Here is a 25984-nt window from a genome sequence, read left to right on the forward strand (position 1 = left end):
ATTTGTGAGAAATCCATTTCAGATTCAATATCATCTGATATTGTTGAGTCAATACTTGAGTCAAGTCAAGGATCTTGAGAAGTATTGTTGAGTCAATACATAACAATATCAGATGCCTGCAGATGGAGCATGGAATTGAATTCTTGATTATGGGCTTATCATTGGGTGACCTTTGTCACAAAAGTGGTACCATTGTCAGGCTGCAAATGGTCCAGAAAATCAAGTCTCAAGAGCCACAGGAGTACAGACAGAGTTGGCTGATTGGACTGCGGAAAAGTATCAAGAGCAGTGAGACACCACCAGTAGATACAGAAGGAGGTCAAAGGTCCGATACTGTCAGTGTACCAGGAATGGACAGAGTTCATACCTGTGCAATGCAACCTCCTTCACCACAAGACCAGCCAGCCAATCCTTGACAGGAGTTTCAAGTCTGACACACACTGGTAGCTTCCACATTAGAAGTGTATAACCCTTTATCTTGTGCCAAGTCAATGATGATATATATGTGGCCATGTCTAATACAGTGATAGATTAAGGTGGTAGAAGAAATGAGCTGGACATTTCAGGCTGGATCAACAGCTTGATTTCTGTAGGTCTCACTGGAGAATGGGTTCTTAATACAAACATCATCTAACATGAATGGCCTAGGTATTTTATCATCAGCGATGGCTTATTTCCACAGTTCATTTCCTGAGAGAGAAGTATCTTTAATCTGTTAGTCTATAGGCTTGTAAGTGACAGGCCATATAGCAGACCAAATGGCTGGATCATTGGCAATATCCCAAGAGTTAGTAAAAATATAAGCTTTTGTGGGAAGTATTGGGCAGAATTATGAGAATGGTCTTAAATTCTTCCCACTGAGTGGACAAGCATATCAGTTTTCAGGGTGCCATGTACAGAGCAGCAATTGACTACTGTAGCAGCCTAATGGACACCAACAGGTTTCAACTTAGCCAAACCATCAGTAAACCAGGCCCAGGCATTGAAAGAAACACTGTGAATCAAGGGCCTCATTGATCTGGTGGCCTTACTTCAAGCAGTGTAATGAAAATATTTTCCCTAAAATGATAGCTGCCACTCTTTCATGTAAACTGAGATGCTACTGGGGACAGACCAACTCTATCCTTGAATATTACAATTTCCATTTGACAACTGAGATATATCGGGCCTTTTCCTTATAGGTTGTCAAATCCAAGATAACCCATTCCAAAATGGAGACATCAGGCTGCAGAGTCACAAAGCTTCTATGGGTCAGCAGTTCAGCTTCTTGACCCAAAGTCTATACAGGTCAATAGCTCAGCAACAGGACAACAGAAGCCCCTGTTTTTAAAAGAGGTGTACTTGGTGCTTGCATCAGTTGTTACTAGGAAATTGCCTCCTGAATACTGCAGCCATTAAGTCTTTAAAGCTTTAATTTCCATTTCTTCTCAGGTTTTATATTCTCTTTGCTATACTACTGGGAAGGGGACAGAGATTACCCCTCCACATGCCACAGTCCTTGAATAGAAGAATTCCTCTGGGCTTCATGAGGATTCACAACACAAGCACGTACAACATGAACACCAATTATACATTCATCAGTGAAAGACACAGCAAACAGTACGTTGGATTGGCCCTAAAGGTCCTACAAGGTCACGTTAATTTTCCTCCCACATGGAAAAAATGTTGCCCAAACCCCATCAGTTGAATTTGGAGCACATTTTCCCCCATGGCAGAGGTTCATTCTTGACATTTAGGAGTGGTTAATTCTTTGTCTGGGGGTTCCCAAGCACTGTAGGAAACTTAGCAGTATCCCTGCTTTACCAACTAGATGCCAGTAGAACACCCCCCACATCGTCCCCCGGCTCAGTTGTGACTATCAAAAATGTCTCCAGGCCCACCACAGTGGCTCACGCCTGTAATCCCAACACTTTGGGAGGCCAAGGCAGGCAGATTACCTGAGGTCAGGAGTTCGAGAACAGCCTGGCCGACATGGAGAAACCCCATCTCTACTAAAAAAATAATAATAATTATATAACAAAAATTAGCTGGGCATGGTGGCTGGTGCCTATAATCCCAGCTACTTGGGAGGCTGAGGCAGGAGAATCACTTGAACCCAGGAGGTGGAGGTTGCAGTGTGCCAAGATCGTGCCATTGCACTCCAGCCTGGGCGACAAGAATGAAACTCTGTCTCAAAAAAAAAAAAAAAAAAAGTCTCCAGACATTGTCACATGTCCCCTGGGTGGGAGGAGAGGACAAAATGACCCTGGTTGAAAAACACTGCCCTATAGAAATATGGACCAAGAAGTCTAACAGGCATAACAGGACTGTAACAATAGCTGCTGGAAGGGGGATGCAGATGAGGGGAGAAGATGGCTTTTCTTATCCTTTGTCTCTCCCAACCAGGCTCAGGGTAAATTCCCTTGCACCCTACAATCCTCAGTACCTTTAGATATCCTTGTGCCCAGCACCCTCTCCATTCATGAGACTGGGAAGGATTATGACTTGGGCACCTATATTCAACAGAGCTAAAAATATTTGAGTTCCTCCCCTCCTTTCAGTTCCCCCGCATACTCAGCATTTTCCTTAAAGCAGTTGAGGCTGGGGTACAGGGGAAAGGAAGGGTCAGGAAGTGCAGAGGGAAAGAGCAGTTTCAGGCCAGTAAGCCAGTTTGCATCAGCTTTCCATTTCAAGCAGCTACCAGCAGGTTGGGCTCATTCAAGTGAACATCTGGCTTTGGTCCACCTGAAGCTGTATCTACTTACAGATGACATCATTATTTAAGCTTTGGGGGGACTCCTTGACCAATCAGATACAGCCACTTTTGGCTTCCCCACTTTTGCGGCCTAATTGTCATATAAAGTCCCTTCTTCCTGTTCCTGAGGAGAGTGAGCACAATCAAAGTACCATTTGGGAAGATTGTTTCAACCTTGCCTCTTGCTTAGCCTGTAAACATTCATTAACAGGCAGGAGAGTGAGAGAAATGTACTTTCCCCCTTGCTCCCCACTTTGGTGAGGGCATTTGCTACTGGGTCCTACTAACACAGCCCATGGGGTCTTCCAGAAAGGCACACCTCAGCCAGCACCCTATCTTGTCACCCAAACTGTCAGGGTCTGGGATTTTACCCTATATACAAGCTAGTAACTTAGCCTGTTATTGCTTCATGGATGTTGGCAGAAGACATGAGGCTCTTGGGTCAGAGATAAAGTACTTCACTACATGCGTAACAAGTAGCATGAAAATAAGATTGCATTAGTTCCCCTTGCCACTAAATCCCACAGACGAAATAGGCAGGGGCCCAGATGGAATGCTTAGCATAGTGAATCTGCTTTGTAGATGAGGAAAAGTGAGATTGGAGAATCCACTGCTTTTATAGTAACAAAAAGACATGTCAACAAGAAATACCCAGAATGAATGACAGAGACTAAAGAATGGAAAACATAGGAGACATAAAGGTTATAGTAAGACAGTCTAACATATGTGAAATTATAATTCCAAAAGGAAAAGAGACAGAGAATAGGACAGAAGCAACATTTAAAAGACAATAATTAATTTTTTTGCAACAATGCTGAAATACATTAAGCTATAGATTCAGAAAGTCCTATGAATCTCAGAAAAGAATAAAAGTATAGAAAACTCAAACTGGTGAAAACAAAAGACAATAGAAGATTGTAAAAGTAGCCAGAGAAAAGAAACATTACTTTGAGAACAGGAAGATTTAGACTGACAATGAACTTTCCAACAAAAGCTAGCAAAGCCAGAAGACATGGCTTGATTTTTTTGTTGTTGTTTTTTTCAGGTAGAGTCTCATTCTGTCACTCAGGCGGAGTGCAAGTGGCAAGCAAGAACAGGGATCACTGCAGCCTCGATCTTCTAGGTTCAAGAGATTCTCTCACCTCAGCCTCCTGAGTAGCTGAGACTGTGCACATCCCACCACGCCTGGCTAATTTTTTAAAAAAAATTTTTAGAGATAGAGTCTCACCATGTTGCCCAGGCTTGCCTGGAACTCCTGGGCTCAAGTGATCTTCCCACCTCAGCTTCCCAAAGTGCTGGGATTATACACATGAGCCACCGTGACTGGCCTGGACTGATACTTTTAAATGCTGGAAAAAAATAACTGCCAATCCAATATTTAATATCCAGAAAAAATGTTATTCAACAAAGACAGTAGGCTGGGCACGGTGGCTCATGCCTATAATCCCAGCACTCTAGGAGGCTGAGGCCGGAGGATCGCTTGAGCTCAGGAGTTCCAGACCAGCCTGGACAATATAGTAAGACCCTGTCTCTATAAAAAAAATTAAAAATTATTCAGGCATGGTAGTGCATGCCTGTAGTCCCAGCTATTCAGGAGGCTGAGGTGGAAGGATTGCCTGACCCTGGGAAGTCAAGGTGGCAATGGACTGTGTTCGTGCCACTGCCTTACAGCCTGGGTGACAGAGTGAGGGCCCTAGCACTTTGGGAGGCCGAGGCAGGTGGATCACCTGAGGTCAGGAGTTCGAGACAGCCTGGCCAACACGGTGAAACCCCGTCTCCACTAAAAATACAAAAATTAGTTGGGCATGGTGGTGGGCGCCGATGGTCCCAGCTACTCGGGAGGCTGAGGCACGAGAATCACTTGAACCCAGAGGCAGAGGTTGCAGTTAGCCCAGATTGCACTCTTTTGCCTGGGCAACAGAGCGAGACTCGTCTCAAAAATAAATAAATAAAAAATAAAGACAGTAAAATAAAGACATTTCACAACAAATGAAGCCTGAGAATATTTATCACCAGTAGAAAATGTTTTCTTCTTAATACTTATTCTGTCTTTTCTTGAGACAAGGTCTCACTCTCTGTCACCCAATTATTGATTCTCCTAATGCTAACCATCCTCTCAGCTTTTTACGGCTAGCAATGTGTTTGCCACATACTCATCAACAGAGGGCAGTAGCTCACCATCATTGGTTTAGTTAGCCTGCATGGTACTTTCAAGGATGGACTTGTAACAGACAAATGTATCTTTCTGTGTCGTCTGTTGTCGTTTCCTCCCACCAAGTATGGGAGAAGGGAGGAGAGGAACTACTAAGAAGCAGTCAACAAAAATGGTAAAAGTATGCTTGAATCTAAACAAATATTGACCCTATAAACAGAAATAATAATGCCTTCAAGAGTTACAATGTGTGACTATAAAATACAAGATAACAATGGCATAGAAATCAAAAGGAGGGTACATGAAGTTAGAAGGTTGTAAGAACCTGGAATTATCTGGGGAAAAAAAGATAAAAAATAACAATTAACATTAGATTTTGATATGTGAAAGATGAATGCTGTACTATCGTGGGCAAACATTAAAATAATATCAGTAAAGCTGTGGGAAAATAATAAAACAATAAGTTCTCAGGTCCCTCAGAGTAAGAATTAATCATAGTCATTTTTGGACTCATCACACCAAGCTCTTAGCAGAGCCAGTTTGTGGACTGATTAAGTTTCTGCTCTCTAACTTCTAGGACAGTCAGTAAATGTGAAATTAAGGAACAAAAGGTAGCTTTCTTAATCCATTTATGTCTTCTTAATACTTATTCTCCGTCTCTCTTTGAGACAAGTTCTCACTCTGTCGCCCAATTGTTTTTTCTCTTAATGCTAACCATCCTCTCAGCTTTTTCTGTTTGACAATGTGTTTACCACACACTCATCAACAGAGGGCAGTAGCTCACCATCATCTGGTTAAGTTAATCTGCATGGTACTTTGAAGGATGAACTTGGAACAGACGAAATGTTTGCTGTTTCCTCCCACCAAGGATGGGGCAAGGGAGGAGGGAAAGAGGATTTTCCATTTTAAAAAGCACTTAGAGCCAGGCACAGTGGTTCACACCTGTAATCCCAGCACTTTGGGAGGTCGAGGCAGGAGGATTGCTTGAGCTCAGAAGTTTGAGACCAGCCTGGGCAACATGAGGAGATCCCACCTCTATAAAAAATTTTAAAATTAGCTGAGTGTGGTGGCACACACCTTTGGTCCCAGCTACTCAGGAGGCTGAGGTAGGAGGATTGCTTGAGCCCAGGAGGTCGAGGCTGCATTGAGCCGTGATCCTGCCACTGCACTCCAGCCTGGGCAACAGAGAAAAATCCTGTCTCAAGAAGAAAATTTAAAAAGCACTTAAACTGACATGTGGAAGTAATCTCATCATAAACTGGAATTAGAAATGAGTCAAATTAGTGACAAATTTTTATTTTTACTCTCATTTGTCAACATTACCAAATTATTTTCTTGAAAAAAATGTTTTATTTTGTGTATACCTAAATAATTTAAAGGACCAATCCTGCAGAGTACTTCCCTCTCCCTTCTGAAAAATATATAACACAAAGTACTCAAAAAGTATCCAGCAAATTAACACATGTGAAAGATGGTACTAGACACCTAGGAATTATGTACCAATCCTGGAATTCATACTCAAGCTGCCCCTGATTTCCAACACCTCCATCCCCCAGAATGAGGACTCTCTTTACCCAGGTGTCCCTACATTACATGGCTGCAGCAGGGATCTCTGTGCTATCATCAGGGAGAACAAGCCCTGGAAATACGTGAATAAGGAATTCCAGCCTATATGGTGATAGAACAAATCTTTTCTCTAGAACATTTAAGTCCCTCTTCTGCAAAGAACAAATAATTTACAGCTTCAGGGTATCTGATGATTTTGTTGCATAATGCTTAAAAGCACAAGCTATGGAGTGAGGCCAGCCTTCTCTAAAACCCCAGGATCACCCTTTAAGTTTCATGACTGAAGCATTCTGTGTAACTACTCTGAATCTCAGTTTCCTCATCTGTGAAACTATGGCAATAACAATGTTACCAGCATCAACAGGCGGTTGTGAAGATTTTTATTATTAGCTATATTGAGAGGAATGGTGCTTAACTGTAAGCAGCTGCCCAGAGGATTCTTGTTCCCTGGGAAGGCAGTTCAGGGATCAGGCCCTTAGGCAGTAATTAAGAGAGCATGCAAATTAAGCGTATAGCAGGTGTGGTGAGAAGAGGGCATCAGGGGAGAGCAGTTGGCTATTTACCGGGAACCAAGATGAGGCTAAGACCTGCCTCTCCTTGTTATGAATATAACTTTGATTTTAAGAGGAACAAAACATTTATTTCAAATTTTCTCTAGTATGAAGACATATATTCAGTGAAAAATTTAGGGATTCTAAAGTCCCCTCAAAGCATTCAGGAGGACCATTTTATACTTCATTCATTGCCAAACAGATGTCTTCCCTCCGTGCCACTCTAGAGGACTCTGAACAGCGCAAAGGCCAACAGAGAGCAAAGGGTAAGCAATAGAAAGACACTGACAGTAAGTCAGTCAACAAACTTGTATTGAGCACCTACTATGCACCAGACTCCATGTTAGGGATGATGAACAAACTGACATGGGCCCCTGCCCTCATGGAGTGTATATTTCTAGGTAACAGGTCTTTGGTGCCAATCTGGGGACATGCTACAGCAGAATCACCTGTGGTAAAAATGTAGCGTATTCAGAATCTGAACACAGACCCCCACCCTGACCTAATGAATCAGACATTCTAGGAGGCAGAGGATACAGGAGGCTATATTTTTATCAGTGCCCTATGGTAAATCTGAGAAACACCCAGATTCGGAGAACTACCATTGGTGTTTCTCAAAGCATGGTCTTTTGACCACCCACATCAAACTCAGCCTCCTAAGAGCACAACACAGGCACGCATGTTTTCAATGTACCCCAAGGTTTGAGAAGCGTTATGCTTGACTTTTTCTCTTACACCTCTCCCTTCCTATTAAATGACATGTATGTGAAAATGCAGTATAAATTGTAAAGCATGATACAAAGTTAGTTGGGTATAGTTCCTAGGACCTTTCAATAAACTGAGGAAGTCCAGCATATACAAGTAACTGAAATCGGTGTGGAATATGATGAGGCATTCCTCAGAGCTCAACAGGTCTCTGGCAGAATCTTCATGGTTCTTCTTATAGCAGCAGAGCCTTCTAGCAGGTAAGGCTGCTAAAACAATACTGTTACTTCAAATGAAGGTCCTTCTGCCTCTGCCCCCCACCAGAGCACAGCTGGGGTGCCTGAGCAGTTACATGCTTGGGTGGCATCCTCTCTGAAGGTCCCTAGAGTATATGCCCTCAGCTGGGCCATTAGCAGAACCTTTTATATCGTGACAGAAATATTTGTTAGGTGGACCCTGTGAGAGCGTAGTAATATGCCATGGCAATATACCCCTTAAACATTTAGCTTTCTCAGCAGATCATGAAATACAAATTCGGGATGCAGGATTAGGATGAAAAAGAAACTAAATGGATAGGAGGGGAGAGACAGATGGTTAGAGAAGACACTAAATTCCCATTTTAGATGTGATGAATGACAGGCACTGATATGGTTTGTAATCCCCACCTGTGGAGGGAAGGAGGTGATTGGATCATGGGGATGATTTTTATTATTAGCTATACTGAGAGAAACTGTAAGCAGCTGCCCAGAGGATTCTTGTTCCCTGGGAAGGCAGCTCAGGGATCAGGCCCTTAGGCAGTAATTAAGAGAGCACGAAAATTAAACGTATAGCAGGTGTGGTGGGAAGAGGGCATCAGGGGAGAGCCGTTGGATATTTACCGGGAGCCAAGATGAGGCTAAGACCTGCCTCTCCTTGTTATGAATTTAACTCTTTTTTTCTTAAAGAGGAACAAAACGTTTATTTCAAATTTTCTCTGGTATGAAGACATATATTCAGTGAAAAATTTAGGGATTCTAAGGTCCCCTCAAAGCATTCAGGAGGACCACTGTGCATTCAGAGGACACTCTCTTGCCTGCTGCCAGGTAAGACATACCTGCTTCCCCTTCTGCCATAATTGTAAGCTTCCTGAAGCCTCCCCAGCATGCAGAACTGTGAGCCAATTAAACCTCCTTCCCTATGAATTACCCAGTCTCAGGGTTCTTTACAGCAGCGTGAGAACGGTCTAATACAGACACCTTTGGAATATCCAGGTGGGGTTGCCACATATGGCTGCAAATCAAGAGTGTGAAGGTCAGAAAGTTAACTAAGACCAATGACAGAGACATAGCAGGCTTCAGCTAGAAGTGGCAGGCAGTCTGCATACTGAGAAAATAGATGAAGAAAAACTCAGCAAATGGAGAAACATATAAAGCAAGAGGAGAGAGTGTAGGGAAAGACCTTAAAAAAGAGGGACAAAAGAGGGAAGAGGTGACTCCTAAGAGCGGAGGGCTGAAAAGCCAAAAGGAGGTTAACATTTCTAGGAAAACGAATCGCCAGTGTCAAATACCACAGAGTAGTGAGTAAGGACAGGAACAGAGGACAGGCCCTGGGATTCACGATCTGCACGTCACTGGTGACAACGTCCAAGAGCAACAGACTGGGGGGATGTGGAACTATTTCCTTCACGGTTTTGACCAGCGTGCTTACTAATAAATCTCAATTCCCTTCATAGCTCTGATTTGATTGTTTTCTGCGAAGGATTCTCAGTTACACGGATGTTATCATTGAACATTAGATACTTTGCTTTCCGAATGGCTGCCTCATTAAGAATCGCAATTTAGCTGGATGTGTCCTCATCGGACTTCCCCAGCCTTCTACTCACTCTCACCTTGCCCCTACTCTCCCTACCTCCCAAGGGGACTGGAGCATGATTTTTCAGGGATTGTGGTGCACCTCTGCCATATGGTGGACATTCAAAGAAAATTTAATTACTAATGTGAATGGAAAGGATTTAGGAAGTGGGTGGGAAAACAGTCTCCTCTCATATTGGAAATACAGTTACTTCCCCTTTCAAAATAAATATAAGTATTTATATTTCAAAGTTAAATATAACTAGACGATAGTTGTACCCTATAGTGCAGTATGACAGGGAAGGTGTAGGCTTTGGTGTCAAACCAACCTAAGGACTGAGTCTCAGCTGTTGCGCATTGCACACCTGCAAAGACGGGTAATATTCTTTACTTGTAAGGTGGTTGGAAGAGCTGAACTGAATAACGTGGAAAGAGTCGATCACAGGGCTTTGTGCAGAATAGGAGGGCAGTATAAAGTAGCAGGGGGGCTATTAGTACTGGCTATTGTTTACTCATCCTATAAGCTGCTTATTCAGAAAACTACAGTAACTTTCCAAATAATTTGGGCAGGAAAACCTCACCACCTTTCATCTAGAAAGATCTAATCACTTCTTTGAACGCCATTCACCCAAGAGGGCACAACTCCTACCAACATGAAAAGCAGATCTTGTGAAAGCCCACTTGCTGCCATCTCCCAGCCATTTCTCCGACTTCAGACCGGTGAACATCGTGCATTAGAAAGTGTTGTTACATGTCCAAGGAAATCTACATATAGAACTTTTGCCACGGAAATGCTGAAGTCCTATTCTGACAGCGTGACTCCGATGTCCACTTGGCAGGCTTTGCGCAAAGAATTAAGGCGAGGGTGGAGAGGGTGGGTAGGGTGGGGACGGACAAAGTGAGAAGGGAGGCGGGCCAAGTGACCACACGTACATGAAGCCTCTCCAGTTATGGCCAAATCATTTTTTAAAAATAATTCCATTTCTTCCCCACCCTTTGGTCACTTCCTAACGCCGGCTGGGGAGTCACATGCTAAGCTCCAAAGTGAGCAACAGACACCCTCGTCCCAGGTCCCATGCTGGCAGAAGCGGACCCGGGCCGAGGGATCAGCCCTCCCACTTCCAGCGGAGGAGCCCTTCGCAACCCTAGCCTCCAGCCCGGGGCGAAGTCCTCCAGGCCCGCGGGGGCGCCCGCAGGCTCCGCCCCTTCTTCGGCTAGCTGCCCGTCCGTCCCGCCCCTGCTCCGCCCTTCCCGCCCCTGCTCCGCCCATCGCGCGGCGGCCCCGGGGGCGAGAGGGGGCGGAGCGTGGAGGCGGCAGCTGGAACCGCGCAGCGCACGGGAACGCGTCCCGCTGCTTGGGTCAGGTTCGCCGGTCGCGGGAGCCCCGCCGTGCAGTCGGAGGTGAGTACCGACGCGGCCCGACCCACGTCCCCAGGCGGGAGCGCCGTCCACCCTGTATCCCTCGAGAGTCGGTGCGGGCCTTTACCGAGGTGCCCGAGGCAGTGGCGGCACGGGGGACACGGAGGCGAGCTTGGGGAGGCTGAGAGGAGAATCGGGGACGTGTTTCTGGCGACTGACGTCTCCACCCTGTCCCCAGTCTATGTCATGCCGGGGAGAGAAACCAGGGATTGGAAGTGGCTTTCCTAGACCCTTCTTAGCCTTGGCTGTGCGTGCTGTCCTGAAAGTCCTTGCCTAGGGTGTGCGGCCAGTCCTGGGAGTCCTAACCCCGAGGGTGTGAGGCCCGCACTGGGAGTCCTCGCCCAGGCCCGGCTGGCTGGATAGGGAAACCCTTGCTAAAGTTGTGCGGGCAGATCCGGGAATCCACTCCAAGGGGTAAAGGGAAAATGGGATGAGGGGGAAGAGACCCTTCGTGGGAGGCTTGAACACAGAGCCCACCATGATAGATTCAGAGATCTAGAAAGGAGCTTGGGCTGCAGTTATGACCAAGTCATTTTTTTCTAGATTCAGCTAGCACATCATAATGGCATCTTCCTTCTTGCAACACATGTAACTCTCTTCCCTGGGGGACAACCTCTAGGACAGAAGTCCCCAAACTTTTCTGGTACTCAGTACTCCTTTACACTCTTAAAAATTAGTATCTTAAGGAGCTTTTATGTGTGTTATATCTATCCATATTTATAATATGTAAGTAAGACTGAGAAATTTGTACTATAATAATTCATTTAAAAAGAATAGTGAACTAATTATATCTTAACATTGCCTATTTTTATGAAAAAGAACTATATTTCCCAAAACAGAAAATGATTGAGAAGAGTGGCATTGTTTTACATTTTTGCAAATCTCTTTGATGTCAAGCGTAATTGAAGACAGCTGGATTCTGATAGCTGCTTCTGCAGTCTGTTGCAATATCACATATCATGTAGCCTCTTGAGACCTCCACTGTATACTCCTGAAAATGTGTGAATGAAAAAAAGCAAGTAACATTTTATTACTAGGAAAATGGTTTTGACTTTGGAGATCCCTAGGAGTTCTCTGCACCACACTTTGAGGATGCTGGTGTAGGAAATGCTTCAGAGGCTTCATTCATTGGGCCTGCTTCTTGTTTGTGATCCTTCCTCTGATTGGGAACACACACCACCTCATGCCATGGACAGTATTAACCTCTGGTATCTGGAACCAAGTTTGATCTCACTTTGGAAACCATGTACTAGGTCCCCACGTGAGGCTGTGATGAACCTTGCCAGCCTCCTGAAAAGTCAGCAAGGCTTCGCACATGCCTTTGGTTGTCTCTGTGCTTGCAGAGCTGACCTGTCTGTGCATCAGGATTACAACAGTGATGTGGCAAACAGGACCTGTAGGCTCACAAAAGTGCCAGTGGGGAGACCATGCCAAGTGTGTAGGGGTTCCTGTGAGAGTTACCAAGTAGTCAGGAAGTTATTTCCAAAAGAACAAGGAGGCATGCTTTTGCCTTCCCTTGCACGTGTTCATTTCTGTTTGCAGTTGCATGGTTATTAGCCTTGAGTTTATTGGAATAATGATTTCCAGTCTTGACGTTCTTTCACTTTCCACTTTCAGAGGGTGTCACTCTGAGTGGTGCTTCCTCAGCCCCTGTCAAAAAGCAGTTTCCACCATCCTGGAGTGTGGTAGGTGAGGTCCTTCACGGGACTCTTTCCTTAGCTTCGTGCCTTGTCAGAACAAGTTCAAGACAGATGTTATGTGTATATATTTGGGAGGAAGAAATTTTCTAACTCCATCCTCCCTTTTGTTCCTTCATCCATAGAGCCTCTTGTGCTCTGATGGATCAGTTTAAATGCTACAGCCGATACTTGAGAAATGTTGCATGCACATGAGCGTGTTGTGTGTGTTGCACAGTCCACAGGTGAGGAGGAGGAGAAGTCCACAGGAGAAGGAAATGGGATCTAAACTCTGAGCACCTGCTGTGTTCTTTGTATTAAAAAATTCCACTTTGATGGTGGGGTCTCATTCCTTCATTCTTTCAGTAGATTTTTATTGGCCACCTATTTCTCATGTGTCCAGTTATGTGCGGGATGCCAGGAAAGTAGTGAGCACAAAAGATGCAGTCCCTGTCTTTCTGGCAATTATGGTCTGATAGCTTTGATAACTGCTGGTTAATTGAGATAGTCTATTATATAGTCAGAGTGTGTACATGAAAGCTGGTCCTGTGTGAAGAGCAGTACCCCCTACCTAAAGTGTGCTTCAAAGGCATGTGCTGAAGAAACCAGTCCCACACTGTGAAGATGATGATAAAAACCAACGTGTATCACCACGTGCCTGGCAAAGAACTTCCTTTGCCTTCTTTCCCCCACTCTTCCTTCTACATAGGAAGTAATTTCCTGTGAGGCAGCCAGATTCACAGGGAAATTACCTCCAACCTGGTGCCAGTCACTGGGCCAGCCTCGGGTTAAGACACTTTCTCTGGGTCTCAGTGTCTTTGACTTTAAAATGAGGAGTTAGGCCATTGATAGTAAGTGTCCCAAGGAGCCAGTGGTTTCAGAGCTGGTTTATACTAGCATTTGTGCATATCTCTTCCTAACTCCGTGTTCAGTGGCAACACATTTTTTAGATTGAAATAAGCCATGGTGGGAATAATAACACCATGGAAATTGGCAAATGCTACATCAGAGCTTTTTTTTCCTCTTGGAGTTCAAGTTGTTAAACCTTTGCCAGCTGACACTGCTATTGTCTGAGCCAAGGTGCTTTTGGTTTGTTTTTTTAGTAGAAAACAGACTCTTTAGCCTAGACAAAGATCCTAGATATAGGGTGTATGATTCAAGTCCTCTAAAATTTTTGATAAGGAAAAAAATCTGTTTTCATCATATTCTAAAATATAGATCAGCAAACTTTTTGTGTAAAGGGACAGGTAGTGAAATATTTTAGGCTTTTTGGGTTATGGTTATACAGTTTCTATTGCAGCTACTCAGCTCTGGTGTTGAAGCACGAAAGCGGCAATAGACAACATGCAAACAAACAAGCATGGCTGTGTTCCAGTCAAACTTGATTTACAAAAACAAGGGCCAGCCATAGTTTGCAGACTCCTGACCTAGACTATCAGAACAAGAACCATGTTTCAAAGAGAGAGTTTTATGGAAAAGGAGATTCTTCAGGACTTTATGCGTGAATACCAGAAACTTGAGTCTCCAAGATGGACGTAGCGGGCAGTAGTAACTGTAGAGGATTTGGAATCAATCATGGAAGACTCCATAGTAGGTTGTTTAAAGGAAGGCCAAGTGTGTTGAAGTTTTGAGGACAGAGCCACATATGGGTCTTATTCCCAACTCCCTCCCTGGAGCCATCTCAGATGTTATGCTAGAATGGATGTACCTGCAGTCTAACCCGTTGTGTGAATTTTGCATATTATTATGCAAAAACTAGTAGTGTCTCTAAGAGCTGTCTTGATTCCAGGGGCAGAGACAAAGGAAATGTTAAAAAGGATGGAAAGGCCCAGGCACCGTGGCTTACGCCTGTAATCCCAGCACTTTGAGAGTCCAGATCGCTTGAGCCCAGGAGTTCAAGACCAACCTGGGCAACATGACAAAACCCCATCTCTACCAAAAATACAGAAAAAAATTAAAGCCAGGTGTGATGGCACATATCTGTAGTCCCAGCTACTTGGGAGGCAGAGGCAGGAAGATCACCTGGGAAGTCCAGGCTGCAGTGAGCCATGATTGCATCACGGCACTCCAGCCTGGGCAATAGAGTAAGACCCTGTCTCAAAAAAAAAAAATCCTCGTTATATATGTATATGATACATTGTAGAGTACACTGTGTGTGTATACCTGTGTGTATGCATATTTGTACATCTATGTGTACATAAGTTGTGTGCATGTGTCATTACATATTCCATTCCATGTATTTAAAGTAGCATCATGAATGTTTAGAAGATAGACCAGTAGCCAGTTCTGGGCAGTGGAATGAGGTAGAAGGAAGCCAGAGAACTTTTGTTACTTTTCATAATAACAGATGTGTGCCTATCTTATAAGGGAGGATAGCCTGTAGCATTCATATATTGCTTTTACAACATAGTAAACCTAAAATCCCAACAACGTATACTTTCGGAAGGAAAATAGAGTTATTTCTCTGATAGGAATGTTGCCACCATCCTCCTCCCCCAATTAAAAAAAACTGCTTTGTCATATCACAGCTCTGAACTTGTATATATAATATTAGTATAAAAATAAGAGAGAGACTCTCAAGTCAAAACATTTTATTTAACAGTATTAATGTTTGACTCTTGTCCAGGGTTAGTAATACTAGTTCAAAGTGTTCCTTAGCAAGCTATTGTGCAGCCTTTACACTGGTGTTACAAAATAGTGTTGTATAGTTTTTAAACTAAAAAAAGCATGTTACACAGCAGTATTTCCCTGTGATTCTGTATTTCTGAGGAGAGAAAGCATGTGCATATATGTACGAGTGTGCCCCTGCATGTACAAAGGCAGCGGATATGCCAAAACATTGAGTGCTTTTCTCTAGGTGATACAGCACACTTGCTTTTTAGATTTTCTTCATTTTAGCTTATCGGGGTTTTCAAGCATGAATAAATATTACATTTGACATTACCAAAATCAACCCCTACAGTATGTTTACACCTGGTATGTTGAGGACAGTTCTTCCATCTTTCTTAGGCTGTCTTACCACCAGCTTACCTGGTGGCAGACTCCAGCTACTGTCTCCCAGTGAGAAATGTGAGGAGTGTGAGGCATGGCGAACCGAAAAACAGGCACACTTACCATGTAGTCACATTGTGCTGTGTCTGCTTCCCCTGTAGAGTCTGTCTGACCTTGGCCTCGCCCTCTCACTTCAGTTGACTGGCACCATCAGCTGACCGTCTCCCTAGATCGACTGGCCTTCATTTCTTTTTTTTTTTTTTTCCTTTTCTCTATTTTTAATGGAAAATCTCAGACATACAAAGTGGGGAGGAGAGTATAAACCCTCAGCCTCAACGACTGTGAACAGTGATAATTGGCCAATTTTGTTTCCTCTATACTTTTTTTTTTTTTTTTGAGACAGCGTCTCACTCTGTCACACAGGCTAGAGTGCAGTGGTGCAACCTCAGCTCACTCCAACCTCCACCTCCCGGGTTCAAGCAATTCTTCTGTCTCAGCCTCAGAATAGCTGGAATTACAGGCGTGCGCCACCACGCCCAGCCGATTTTTGTATTTTCAGTAGAGATGGGGTTTCACCATGTTGGCCAGGTTGGTCTCGAATTCCTTACTTCAGGTGATCCGCCTGCCTCAGCCTCCTGAAGTGCTGGGATTACAGGCATGAGCCACTGCGCCTGGCTCTTCCCTTATACTTTTCTTCAACATCACCTCTTTTTCTTTCTGGCAAGAGTTGGCATCTTCATTTGCAGCTGTATAAATTAACGAGAATCACTTATTAGGTCTTTTAGGAATAAGCATGTATTGACTGCTGTAGCAAAAATCTTAAAACTGTTCTGCCCTAATGTCAGCCATACTGAACTGCTGAGGAGCCCCTGAACACTTGCTGCGCTATCCTGTTTCTCTACTTTGGTATTTGCTCTTTACTCTGCCTGTGCATCTGAATTCATCTTCCACTTCGTAGTTCTCTGTAAAGCCTTTCTTGAATCCCACTTGTAGCTGTCTCTTTCCTTTGACTTTTCTTATAACCCTCATCCTATTGTATTTGTGTGCTTATCTTAGTCTCCTTGTCAGATTGCAGTCTTCAAATAAGAGAAGGAATGTGTGCCTATCTTCTTTTCCTCTATGGTATTTAGCAATGCGTAATACAAAGAAGATACTCAAGAAATACATGCTAAAATAATTTGAATTGATTAAGTTCACTGGAGAAAAATTTTGAGTATAAAAGAAATCCATCACATTAAAAGAAAAATTTTCAAATATGACCTAGGACCAAGAACATTTTCTTTCATCTGTTTGGATTTTAAAAGATTTTAAAGAATCATGGTGAAAAGAGTCTTAAATTTGAGCCATGAAAAGAGTCTTAAATTCGAGCCAATATAAAAACGTAGCTTTCTAAAAAGAAAATGTTTTTAATGATCTTTTGTCATTTTTTCACAAATATATCTGGAGCCTGTGGGTCTTCTCTAATCATACAATGCATCCCCTCACCTCCCCCCACCAGGCGAAAGACCTGAAAAAATACAACTGAATAATATTGGGTCACTTGTATTGGATAAGAGTGATTCTTGACTATATTTTAAATACTTGTTTTAGAATGTATATTTAAATCTTCAGTAAAAGAAACAGGCTACATTTAGAGCTTACCATAGGTAAGTCAATAGCAATCTCATGAATTATGGTAGCTCACGGGGATATAGTTCCCAGAATATGCAGTGCTTTCGTGTGTTACCTCATTTAATTATCCTAGCAGCCCTTGTCATCTGGGCAGAGCAGTGCAGACAGACATTGTTACCTAAAATCTGCAAAGAAGTAAACTAAGGTTTAAGAATATAGAAGAAATCTTGTCCTCAGCAGCAAGTGGCAGAGACTGACTTTAAGAATCAATTGGAAACCAAGAGTCTTTGGGATTAGATGTTGCAAATATGTGAAGACGCAAAAGCATCTAAGCATGTCTTTGGGAGACGGAACAGGTTCTTGTGCCCCTTAATGCCATAGACCTATTGAAACAATATCACACTCTCTGAGCCAGTTGTTCCTCAGATTCCTCATGTTCTGCTGTTATCTTTGGTGTCAAAAATTAATCCACCTTAGATGAATTAGTAAGGCTGTTTGTACATGAGTGCTGGTGTGGTTCTCTCTCATCCTCTTGTCTTGATCTAAGGAGAACCCTGGGCAAGCCCATCTTTGGATAGTGTAACTTGTCTGGGCCACTGCTCGCAAAACAGACATGTATGGAACACTTAATTATTCAACATCCTTGTCATCCTTTCTATAACTGCTATTGTGGAATTACATGGCAAGTTGCAAGTTGTGGCATAGTTCATGAAGAAGAGGTGTCAGTCTAGGAAAGTATCCTCCTACATGATTACCAGGTTTGAATTTTTGGTTCAGAACAGATAAGATAAATAAGCCATTGCCAAGAATCTGCGATGTACAAGAGCTATGATGGGTGGACATTTGAAAGGTACAATTTTGTATTAACGGCAGAATCAAAAGTAGCCTCAGGATTGGTTTTAAGGATGTTATGTTTCATAAACCCTTATTTTCTTAGATAAGAAATCAGTCTAAGTGCTAATAATGCCTATATTATTTACATCAACCCATTCTTTAAAAGTTACCATACAAATTTTGCCAAAATCAAGGATGTTTTAGGGAACATGAGGTTTACCATCTCGTCCCCATATATGTGCTTTAGAGCTTGGAGATTGTTTTAAAATGAGATTTATTTTTTTTAAATGCATTTGGTTTTTTGGATCTTAATATGTTAAATGACTGTAAAATGATATCACTTGTGCAGCCTGTTGGGAGGAGCATGGTGCAAGAGAGTTGGTTCTGACATCAGGAGCCTGAGTTTGACTTCCAGTTTGGTCACTTACCAGCCATGAGACCATGGCAAGATACTTAGCCCGTCAGATCCTGTCTTCTCTCATGTGAAATGGGATGGTGATGCCCTTGTCACAAAGTTGCCAAGGGTCTGCATTAGAGGAATTGGATTAGATGCCTGGCACCCCACAGGCACTCAGCACATGTCTCCAGGCTGCTGAGCTTCTGGGTGACCTGGCACTCATGGGATAATGCCTGAACATTGCTGCTGTTCTTCCCAGCTTCTGTCCCAGTCCAACCTGCTAAGCTCCAGGCCCATATATGCCCCTGCCCGCAGGAGATCTTATCCCAGATCCACCGTGTCTAAAACCAACATCTCAGTTCCCATCTTGTTCATTGGCTCTGCCAGTTTGCCCAAATGAGAAACACAGAAGCTATTCGAGACCTATCTTTTTTCCTTACCTACCCCAGCCCATCCTGCTTTCATAACTGTTGCGGGAGGTCAGGGACCCCGAACGGAGGGACCGGCTGAAGCCATGGCAGAAGAACATAAATTGTGAAGATTTCATGGACATTTATTAGTTCCCCAAATTAATACTTTTATAATTTCTTATGCCTGTCTCTACTGCAATCTCTGAACATAAATTGTGAAGATTTCAGGGACACTTATCACTTCCCCAATGAATACCCTTGTGATTTCCTATGCCTGTCTTTACTTTAATCTCTTAATCCCATCATCTTCATAAGCTGAGGAGGATGTATGTCACCTCAGGACCCTGTGATGATTGTGTTAACTGCACAAATTGTTTGTAGAGCATGTGTGTTTGAACAATATGAAATCTGGGCTGCTTGAAAAAAGAACAGGATAACAGCAATGTTCAAGGAACAAGAGAGATAACCTTAAACTCTGACTGCCGGTGAGCCGGGGGGGAAACAGAGCCATATGTCTCTTCTTTCTAAAGCAAATGGGAGAAATATCGCTGAATTGTTTTTCTCAGCAAGGAACATCCCTGAGAAAGAGAATGCGTCCCTGAGGGTAGGCCTCTAAAATGGCTGCTTTGGGGGTGGCTGTCTTTTACGGTCACTGCTGTAGGGAAGAAATAAGCCCCAGTCTCCTGTAGCGCTCCCAGGCTTATTAGGACGAGGAAATTCCCTCCTAATAAATTTTGGTCAGACCGGTTGTCTGCTTTCAAACCCTGTCTCCTGATAAGATGTTATCAGTGACAATGCATGCCCGAAACTTCATTAGCAATTTTAATTTTGCCTCAGTCTTATGGTCCTGTGATCTTGCCCTGCCTCCATTTACCTTGTGATATCTTACTACCTTGTGAAGCATGTGATGTCTGTGACCCACACCCTATTCATACACTCCCTCCCCTTTTGAAAATCACTGATAAAAACTTGCTGGTTTTACTGCTCAGGGGGCATCACAGAACCTGCCGACATGTGATGTCTCCAGCTTTAAAATTTCTCTTTTGTACTCTTTCCCTTTATTTCTCAGACCGGCCGACACTTAGGGAAAATAGAAAAGAACCTACGTGAAATATCAGGGGTGAATTTCACCCAATACATAACTCTGCCTGGATTTGTTCCCTCCTGTACCTCCTCATTGCCTTGTCTTATTGACTGTAATAACACCGTAACCTGCCTCCCAGACACCAGTCTGGCAGCCTTTCCCTGAGTTAGTCTATACCCCTACCGGAATGATCTCTGAAAATCAAATCTCATCTTAAAGATTGCAGCTCAGAATCCTTTAATGGTGCCTCCTTACCTTTGGTAAAAATTCAAACTTTGCAGCAACCTGGACCTTGCTCCATCCCTTGTTTCTTAGCTCTCCCCAACATGTACCCTGTACTTTATCCACGTGCAACACTTTATGATTCCCACAATGTCACACTTTTGTGCCTTTAATGTATTGTTTCATCTGCCAGCTTATTCTTTCAGTGACTCTGTACCTCTGTGTAATTCTGGAAGGCTTGTGCATGGTGTCACCTGTCCCTAGAGTCCTTTCTCTCCCCCTCTGATGCTCTGATGCTGGATTAGGTGCTTTTCCCTGGTGGTTCTTTATCAGCCTTCATCCACCACACCTGTAGCATGGGCTGCATGATGTTCTGATTTCTCCTACACAGTCTCCATTCTCAGTCTGAGCATCTGAAGGAGGATGGGGACTTTATCCCTTCATCCCAGGTCTGTAAATGTCGTGTGTATGAATGAATCCACACCAGTCCCTTCCCATAGACAACATAGAAAGGCCCAGGTCCCAGAAGTATCAAGGTCTAATGCTGCTTTAGTATTTGTCACTCCTTCAACCCAGTGAAATAGAGCAGCTGTGCCATTGTGGGAGTCACTGGGATGGAACCAGCTGCTTCAGAGCTGGGCTCTGGAGTCTGATGGACTTGGGTTTGCGTTCCAGTTCCCTCTCTCAGCACGCCTGCATCTGGCTTCAGATTTGTAGCTTCTAACATCCTTCTATCCTGCTGCGGGGAAGGAATGTGCTGATCAGAAATAGGAGCATCAGGTCCTCCTGACAGTTGCCTTTCTTAGGTAAAATCAGTAAATATATGGGTTTGCATATTGAGCTCTGAGAATTTTATTAGCATGAGTCATAATCCCCGAGTTCAGTCAGCCCTGATGAGACCAGGTTGGTGAGGTGGCTGGGTATAGTTGGCCTCAGACACTTGGCGAATTCACAGAGGTAAAGATGGCCCAGAAGACCTCTGACAGCCAGACACCCAATCTCTTGTGGTGATGGCCTTTCTTTCTAATTCCTAATTCCTAAAGTTTGAGTTAGAAAAGTTCATTGCCACAATCTGCGAAATGAGTTCAGGAGCCTGAGGAAATCATGCTGCTTTCTTAAAGATTGGATCTCAACTGGACCTGCTTTGTAATACTTTTTTTTGAAAGTACAGCTGTCTTCACCCACTACTTCTCCTCCTCTTAAAACATAAATGCAGGCTGGGTGTGGTGGCTCACACCTATAACCCCAGCAATTTGGGAGGCCGAGATGGGCGGATCACTTGAGGTCAGAAGTTTGAGACCAGCCTGGCCAACATGGGGAAACCCCGTCTCTACTAAAAATACAAAAATTAGCCAGGCGTGGTGGTGGGCACCTGTAATCCCAGCGACTCCAGAGGCTGAGGCCAGAGAATCACTTGAACCTGGGGGGCAGAGGTTGCAGTGAGCCGAGATTACGCCACTGCATTCCAGCCTGGGTGACAGAGTGAGACCCTGTCTCAAAAAACAAACCAAAAAACCAAAAAACTTAGATGCAGTAGGGCTTAGTTGAGGTATCTGCAGGTGTCATGTACTACACCACACTGGTGACCATAGGGAGCTGCAGGGTAGGGGGCCCACATTCTGAGAAGGGGCTGAGGAAGACCTCAAGGAGGAGAGGATGAGGTCAGGCTCAGGGCCGGGTCAGATGCCGGGTTCTCAGGACAATGCCCCCACTTCTTCCTTTACTTTCTTGCCAAATGTTTCATGACCCTTGGTGACTTTCTTTCTCAGCCTGTCTCTGGAATTTATAAATGTCGAAGTTCACCAAGACTTTTTACGAAACTCTGGTTATATTGGCCCACAGTGACACTAAAAAGTAAAAGTGAATATTTCTGTGAGTTTGTGCTGCTGCAACTAATTTAAAACGAGCTTAGAGGATGTGTTAAGTCTTTCTCTTTGAGACTTGCATGTGATGTTCTGCCCCCTCTTGGCCAGTGAGCCCAGAACTAGGGGAGCCCTCAAGAGGCAGGGGCTGCCTGGTCAGGCATTGCTATAGCGTGGCCCTGGTTCCCCAAGTCCTGTTGTTTTTGGCAGTGGCTGTACACATCTGCCGAGTGAGTCATGATCATTTTTGTGATACATCCTGAGAATTTCCAGTGTTACTTAATAATGAAATTCAGGGAAATAGGGTTAGACTTCAGGAAGTAAGTACTTTTCAAGTACAATCTAATATTTTCATATATGAGTTAATTTCTTATCAAACTGTAACCAATTTTTGATGTTGGAAGTCTACAGTCTAAACCAGATGACAGTTAAGGCTTTGTAGTTTGTCTTTATCAAAGTCCCTACTGTGGCCACTTTATCACTGTCTTTATCAAAGTCCTCACAGTAGGGACTTTGATAAACTACAAACACCTAGCTGTACACCTGGCTTAAAGTGTAGATTTACAACATCAAAATTGGCTAAAGAGCCTCATGTGGTCTGGCCGCTACTACCTCTTGCCTTTTCTGTCTTCCCCTTTTTTTGCCTTCACACACCTTGGTCTCCTTGGCCTTCCTTAGACCCACCAGGCATGCCACCACCTCAGGGCCTTTGCACGTGAGGTTACCCCTCCCTGGATTGCACAGTGGCTGAACATCAGTGAGGCCTTCTTTGATCACTGACACTCCCCACAGCCCCTGTACTTTCTACTGCTTTTGCCCTGCTTTATCAATAGAATGGGTCACCATCTGATACTCTGTTTGTATATTTATTTATTTGTTTAGTCTGTCTCCTTCCATTAAAATGGAAGTACTATGAGGGCAGGGACTCTGTCTCTGTTGTTCCCTGATGTATCACCAGGACCTAAAACAGTTCCTGGCATGTAATAGACAGTTAACATAAATGTGAATGAATGAATCATTGAATTTTTTCCACTTAGAAAGGACTTTTTAGATCGTTAACCAACCTTATTTATAGATTGGGAAACTGAGGCACAGAAAAGTTATATGGCTAATTCAAAATAAAACCATCATTTAAGCTTTTTTTTTTAAAATCTTGACATATATATAGCACATTCTGGTCAGTTATCCAGGATGAGAAAAGACTGAGTGAAAATAGACCACTAACTTAAAATTTGAGCAAGAAGAGACAAGCTGCTGTGAGATGGGAAAGCTTTCTGATATAGAGGCAGAGTTTTGTTCCTTTCTGTAGCATATGGTGCACCTTGCACATACTTAGTGCTCAAGAAAAACATGTTGACGTAATGTGGTTATATTGTTAAATCCATTCTTTCTGCACCACTCTTTTCCCCCCAGTTTCTCTCCAAAAAATAGATAATTGCTCATGTGACTTCTCCTTCAAAGTTCTTCTAGTTACAAGTATCATATTTAATAGGTTTTTGTTTTATGAACAGCTAAAAGAATTGAAGAGATGACCTGGTTTCTTGGAAAATTCAGAGATATTTAATGCAGTTTCCCAGATGCATCCCCATCAAATAAAACAAAGAATTAATGTTTCTAGCTCTCTTATGAAAGAACCCAGTTGACAAGCCTTGGTGATATTGCTGGCCATGATGATTCTGACCTCAATGTTGTTTATGTTCACATAGACATCCTTGGAATTTTACTTTTGACAAAAATATTGTTTATAAGTAGCATGATGTTTAGATACACAAAAGTTAGTTTGGGAGTAGGGCCAATTAATTTCTCTTTAAACAGAAATGAAATATAGCTAACCTTTTTAATGAGCTGCAGTGAACCTCAGAGATGCAGTGATAGTACTTTGACTTTAGAGTTGGAAGCCATGGCAGTTCAAGACAAGTATATTTCAGAAGGTGTAGGAAGAGAGGAAAACAGAAGGGCAAACCACATAAAATACAGGAGAAATCTTTTTCTCTTGTTTGCATAGACTTTTTAAATCCACTCTTAGGTGTCTTTAGATAGCCCAAAAAAAGGATTGGGGGATGTGCTGCCAGTACTTTAGACCATAGAGAGATGATTCTCAGTTGATCATCTGAAGGCTCTTTCAAGCTCTACAAGCTCCCCTGGAAACTGATATGTACCCCCAAAACAAACAAACAAAAAACAAATTCTCATCCTGTCCAGCCCACTACTGATAGTTCTGCTGCCTGGGTTTATTCCTCTCCTGTGCTCCTCCTCCTGCTGTGTGGAAATCCTGTGATTGCTTGTAGGGTCCATTAATACTATGCCTCTGTCTGTATCATAAGGTAATTAATTATAATATTTCACTATCATAGGAAAATTAAACTTTGATAACACAAGTAGCAAATTCATAGATGTATATATTCCAAAGATGAGATGGAGACCCTAAAAGGTGAATCTTATTTTTTCTGATCCTTGGCATTTAGCTTAAAGTAAGTCGACTGTTCCAAACATCTCTACAAATCTAGCTATGAGAGATAAACATCATCACATGGCACTCCTCTTGAATGCTACTGTTGAATCACTCCCTGTCAGCTGGGTGGGTGTATGGGCTGACGTGGTTTTCTAGCAAGAGTGATGGTTTAGCATCCATCCATATGCTATGTGCAGTCTCCCTCACAAAACCTGTTTACAAGGATTGCACCCAGGGTTCGGAATTTCTTTTTTTTTTTCTTTTTTCTTTTTCTTTCTTTCTTTGTTTTTTTTTGTTTGTTTGTTTTGTTTTGTTTTTTGAGACAGAGTCTTGCTCTGTTACCCAGACTGGAATGCAGTGGCACAATCACAGCTCACTGTAGCCTCAATCTTCCAGGCTCCAGCGATCCTCCCACCTCAGCCTCTCGAGTAGCTGGGACTACAGGTGTGGGACACCATGACTGGCTAATTTTTTCACTTTTTTGTAGAGACATGGTCTCGCTATGTTGCCCAGGCTGGTCTCAAACTCCTGGGCTCAAGCAGTCCACCCACGTTGGCCTCCCAAATTGCTGGGATTACAGGCATGAGCCACTGCATCAACCCAGGTTGATATTTCTAAATGCTGAAAGAAAATAGCTGCCAACCTAATATTTAAATTTTAATGTAGAGCTACTCATAAGCAAAGTGTACTGGCCCAAATAGGATTTTGTCCATGATTTAAGATAATCATCCCCTTTCCTTGCTATAATTCACTAGGCTCACAGTGCACCCAAGCATGGGGTCAAATTGTCGACAGATTTTAGGGCTGTCTGTCATTCACGTAAAGGGAAATGTTGTAGACCATATCTCAAGACCAAGTAGAGGCCAAAGGCAGTTTCAGTCTCTCCAGAGTTACAGAGCTGAGGCATCCACATTAATAGCTCAGTTAAGTCCCCTTGGAGATGAAAACATTTGATCAGCAGAGGTCATCTTAGTGTTACTCAGTTTGACCTGTCTGGCAGACAGGCAGTTTACAAAAGAAGAAGTTTAGATGCCTAACAGACAGATGGAAAGTTACTCAATTTAACTAGCTATTAAAGAAGTACCAAGATTGGCTTTTTAATGTCTCAACTTGGCAAAAGGTAAATATGAATTCTATTGCCTGGTTTGAGTACCTCCACTCACTGCCTCAGAGAAGGGTCGTAAAATTGGTACAGCCTTTTCCAGGCATCCTGGTGATATGCAAATCCTTTCACTCGGCTCTTTTCTAGGAACTGAAAGCTAGAAATTTATTTGAAAGAAATGATTTAAGGACCTACTAACGATGTGAGTATACAAGGCATCATTGTTTGAATGCTAGTACTTGGAAACAACCTAAGTATTTTAATAATAGGGAAATTGTTATATATCTGAAGGATAGATTTTTATGGTATAGTTTAAAGTGCTGTAAAATATCACACGATTGTCCTATTAAGATATTTGAGGTTTATTGTTGAGTGAAAAAAAGCAAT

The 25984-nt window shown here is 43.1% G+C and overlaps 1 protein-coding gene across 4 annotated transcripts in view, besides 2 other annotated features; it reads left to right on the forward strand.

The window, feature by feature from the left end:
* Positions 10647-11026: a silencer, noted in NCBI's record as "silent region_19825". NCBI's record gives its function as "represses an Ori minimal core promoter by ATAC-STARR-seq in GM12878 lymphoblastoid cells {active_cell/tissue: GM12878}" and the evidence as "EXISTENCE:reporter gene assay evidence [ECO:0000049][PMID:35858748]".
* Positions 10846-25984, forward strand: part of ACO1 (aconitase 1) — a 70127-nt gene continuing 54988 nt past the window's right edge. The window contains exons 1-2 of one of the 4 annotated variants that reach the window (NM_001278352.2): positions 10846-10938; positions 12574-12645. Coding sequence is in view for 1 of the 4 variants with exons in the window: in XM_047423430.1 (XP_047279386.1) it covers positions 25798-25799 (2 nt within the window). In the remaining 3 variants the exon portion in view is untranslated. Of the gene's footprint in view, positions 10939-12573; positions 12646-25749; positions 25800-25984 lie in introns of those variants that run through there. The other 3 variants (NM_001362840.2, NM_002197.3, XM_047423430.1) reach the window with 3 other exon arrangements.
* Positions 19170-19741: an enhancer, noted in NCBI's record as "OCT4-NANOG hESC enhancer chr9:32392965-32393536 (GRCh37/hg19 assembly coordinates)". NCBI's record gives its function as "activates a minimal SCP1, AML or CMV promoter by ChIP-STARR-seq in primed H9 embryonic stem cells {active_cell/tissue: H9 hESC(primed)}" and the evidence as "EXISTENCE:reporter gene assay evidence [ECO:0000049][PMID:30033119]".

Source organism: Homo sapiens, chromosome 9 (assembly GCF_000001405.40).
Source record: "Homo sapiens chromosome 9, GRCh38.p14 Primary Assembly".
Classification (NCBI taxonomy): Eukaryota; Metazoa; Chordata; class Mammalia; order Primates; family Hominidae; genus Homo; species Homo sapiens.